The sequence below is a fragment of the Homo sapiens genome, chromosome 5, assembly GCF_000001405.40.
Source record: "Homo sapiens chromosome 5, GRCh38.p14 Primary Assembly".
NCBI lineage: Eukaryota > Metazoa > Chordata > Mammalia > Primates > Hominidae > Homo > Homo sapiens.
In genome coordinates this window covers 65,897,105-65,900,517 of record NC_000005.10, presented here as the reverse complement: position 1 = coordinate 65,900,517, position 3,413 = coordinate 65,897,105, and positions in this window count along the sequence as shown.

The following is a 3,413-nucleotide window of genomic DNA, read 5'->3' as shown; positions in this document are numbered from 1 at the left end:
AAGCCCGATGTATCTTCTTTTCCTTGCTATTGGTGATTGTGGCACCTTGATAGGAAAATTCCTGAGGCACAAATGGTGAGAAGTAATTTAATTGATAACCTCTCAAATGTGTTCAATTTTCTCCATTCCCGCTGCTGCTAATTTGACCTGGGACATTATATGCTCTCTCCTGGCTACCTTCACAGCCTCCTTAATGACTTCTCTCTCTTTAGTCCTATTTCCCTTTAATTCTTTCTCCACACTGTGGCCAGCAATCTAATCATGTCTCTCCCACTCAAAACCTTTGGATGGCTCTTCATTGTCCTCAGGGAGAAGCCTAGATTCCTTCATACGCTCGCAAGTCCTTTCAGGATGTGGCTCCAGCCTCCTCATCTTCTCTTGCCACCCTCACCTTCTGTGTTCCAGCTTTTCCATTCTTGGAATTCACCATGCCCTCTCTTGCTCCCGGAATAGTCTGCTACCCCATCTTTGCCTGGCTAACTCCTATTCATCCTTGAATTCACTTAGATATCATATCCCCTGGAAATCCCTTCAGTCTTCAAAACCTGAGTTTTAAAAAGGCTCTTCTGTGCTTTCAAAGCACCCTGTGCTTCCTTTCATTGTCTGTTACTTCTCTGTACTACACTTTACTTCCCTGATTCCTACACAAGACTCTTAGCTCCATGAAGACAGGGACCTTATCTATGTGCTCAGTTATATCACCAGAACTTAGCACAGGCCCTGGAATGTGTAAGCACTTAAATCAATTAGAGATACACTCTGGAAAAAGAACTATGCTTTCTTTTGTGGTGAAAAATAGGATTGTCATATTGGGTAATGGTGAAACCATGGAAAAGAAGAATCTTATCAGCTAATTTATTAAGTTGTGTTAATATAGTTTTGTTCATGAATATTGTTCTTTACTGAATGCCTGGAAGGAAGGCATTAGAATGTTTCCTTTGGGTTGAGAGTATATTTATGTCTAGGACACACATTAAAAGGGCTGACTCTGATGTTAGACTATTTTGTAGCATATAAGTATACCTGGACATCTGATGTTATCAGATGAGGCCTTTAACTTTTCTTGAAAGTCACCTTTTACTCGCCACCACTCTTTCTCTTTCTTATAGTTCCTACCTCTGCATAAAATACTTCTAAATAACCTCTTTCCAGCTTATAATATTTTATCCTAATATAAACACATTGCTTTACCTCTGAATAAAATGACACGAATTTTAATATTTAGAAAATTATACATTGTAGTTCCACAATTCTAAGATGCCATTTTTTTTGCCTTTTCAGGGAAAAAACAAATATGAAATTAAATGTATCAGTGCAGCGGCTCACACCTGTCATCTCAGCACTTTGGGAGGCTGAGGCTGGCAGATCATATGAGATCAGGAGTTTGAGACCAGCCTGGCCAGCATGGCAAAGCCCCGTCTCTACTAAAAATACAAAAATTAGCCGGGTGTGGTGGCGCATGCCTGTAATCCCAGCTACTTGGGAGGCTGAGGCAGGAGAATCAGGGGGGCAGAGGTTGCAGTGAGCTGAGACGGGACCACTGCACTCCAGCCTGGGTGACAGAGTGAGACTCTGTCTCAAAAAAAAAAAAAGAAAAGGAAATTAAATGTGTCAAGACCCCAAATTAGTTGAAGAAGAAGAAGAAGAAGAAGAAGAAGAAGAAGAAGAAGAAGAAGAAGAAGAAGAAGAGGAGGAGGGGAAGAGAAGAGAAGAGAAGAGAAAAGAAGAGAAGCCAACAATTTTAAGGCTCAGTGCAATTTCCAATACGTTATAATATGAAAGAATGTGTGTCTTAAATACACACATACGCACACACTTATATTTGGAGAAAAAATGTCAGGAAATACAGCAAAATATTAAGGTTGGTGTGATGTGGGATTATGATTAATTTTTCCTTTATTCTTCATATTTTCTGCAATGTTTCTACAAGGAGAGGATCTGTATTTTGGCATCATCAAGAAAAATTAATAAACTTTAAAAGTAGATATGACATATTTAACATGTATTTTGTTTCTATTCCATATTCTTGAGGTCCCTCAGTTCTCAGTTTATGAAATGAATTGACACACTCTTGGCTTAACTTTGGGCTACATGCCCTATTCATTTGATGCAAGTATTAATGGCTTCACTTCTTTTTTTTTTTTTTTTTTTTTTTTTTTTCACAGAAATGCTGTTCTTCCTTCTGGATGCAATTCCATAGAAAGCTTTTGCAGTCCTCATCTTATTATTCCTTGTGTGGCTGCCAATTTCGGTCTTCATTGACACTTGCATGCTTTAGGACATTCAGAAAATGAGTTAGGGCCTCTGACATTCCAATAAATACGGGACATTACAGAAATCAGTTTCCAAGAGTTGCAGATAATATTAGATTTTGTGACTATTGGATTAAATTAGTTAATGATAGATAAAGTGCATACCAGGTGTTCTGTAAAGACTCTTTCCTTCTCATCCTCATGATCCCTGAGAAAAGAATAAAGCAGCTCAAGAACCATTTTTTTCTTTTTTTCCTTTCTTCTGCTTGCAGCTTTTCTTTTTTCTTTTGTTTTCTTCTCTTCTGTTTGCTTCTCTTTTCTTTTCTTCTCTTCTTATATCTCGAGATGGAGTCTTGCTCTGTTGCCCAGGCTGGAATGCAGTCGTGCAATCTCACTGCAACCTTCTCCTCCTAGGTTCAAGTGATCCTCCCACCTCAGCCTCCCATGTAGCTGGGACCACAAGTGCCCACCACTATGCCTGGCTAATTTTTGTATTTTTTGTAGAAACAGGGTTTCACCACATTGCCCAGGCTGGTCTTGAACTCCTAGGCTCAAGCAATCCACCTGGCTTGGCCTCCCAAAGTGCTGGGATTACAGGCGTGAGCCACCACATTTGGCTGCCTGTAGCTTTTCTTTTTCTTTTTCTTTTTCTTTTTTTTTTTTTTTTGAGACAGAGTTTCACTCTGTTGCCCAGGCTGGAGTGCAGTGGCACCATCTCAGCTCACCGCAACCTCTGCCCTCCTGATTCTTCTGCCTCAGCCTCCTGAGTAGCTGGGATTACAGGCATGTGCCACCACGCCCAGCTGACTTTTGTATTTTTAGTAGAGACGGGGTTTTACATGTTGGCCAGGGTGGTCTCGAACTCCTGATCTCAGGTGATCCACCTGCCTCAGCCTCCCAAAGTGCTGGGATTTCAGGCATGAATCACCGCACCCAGCCTGCCTATAGCATTTCCTACCCAAACAAAAAGTTTAGCTCTTTTGTAGATCCCCTTCCTTTGTAAAAATTTAAAGGAGTGTAGCTTGGAAAATGGCACTTCCTATGCTGTAAAGCTAATTTCAATTCTTGACAGCCTGAAAGCTGCTACACTGGTTCACAGGGACAGGACAGAGGCAATGGAGAAATAACCAGTACAATCAGCAATTATGCATCTCAAAGCAC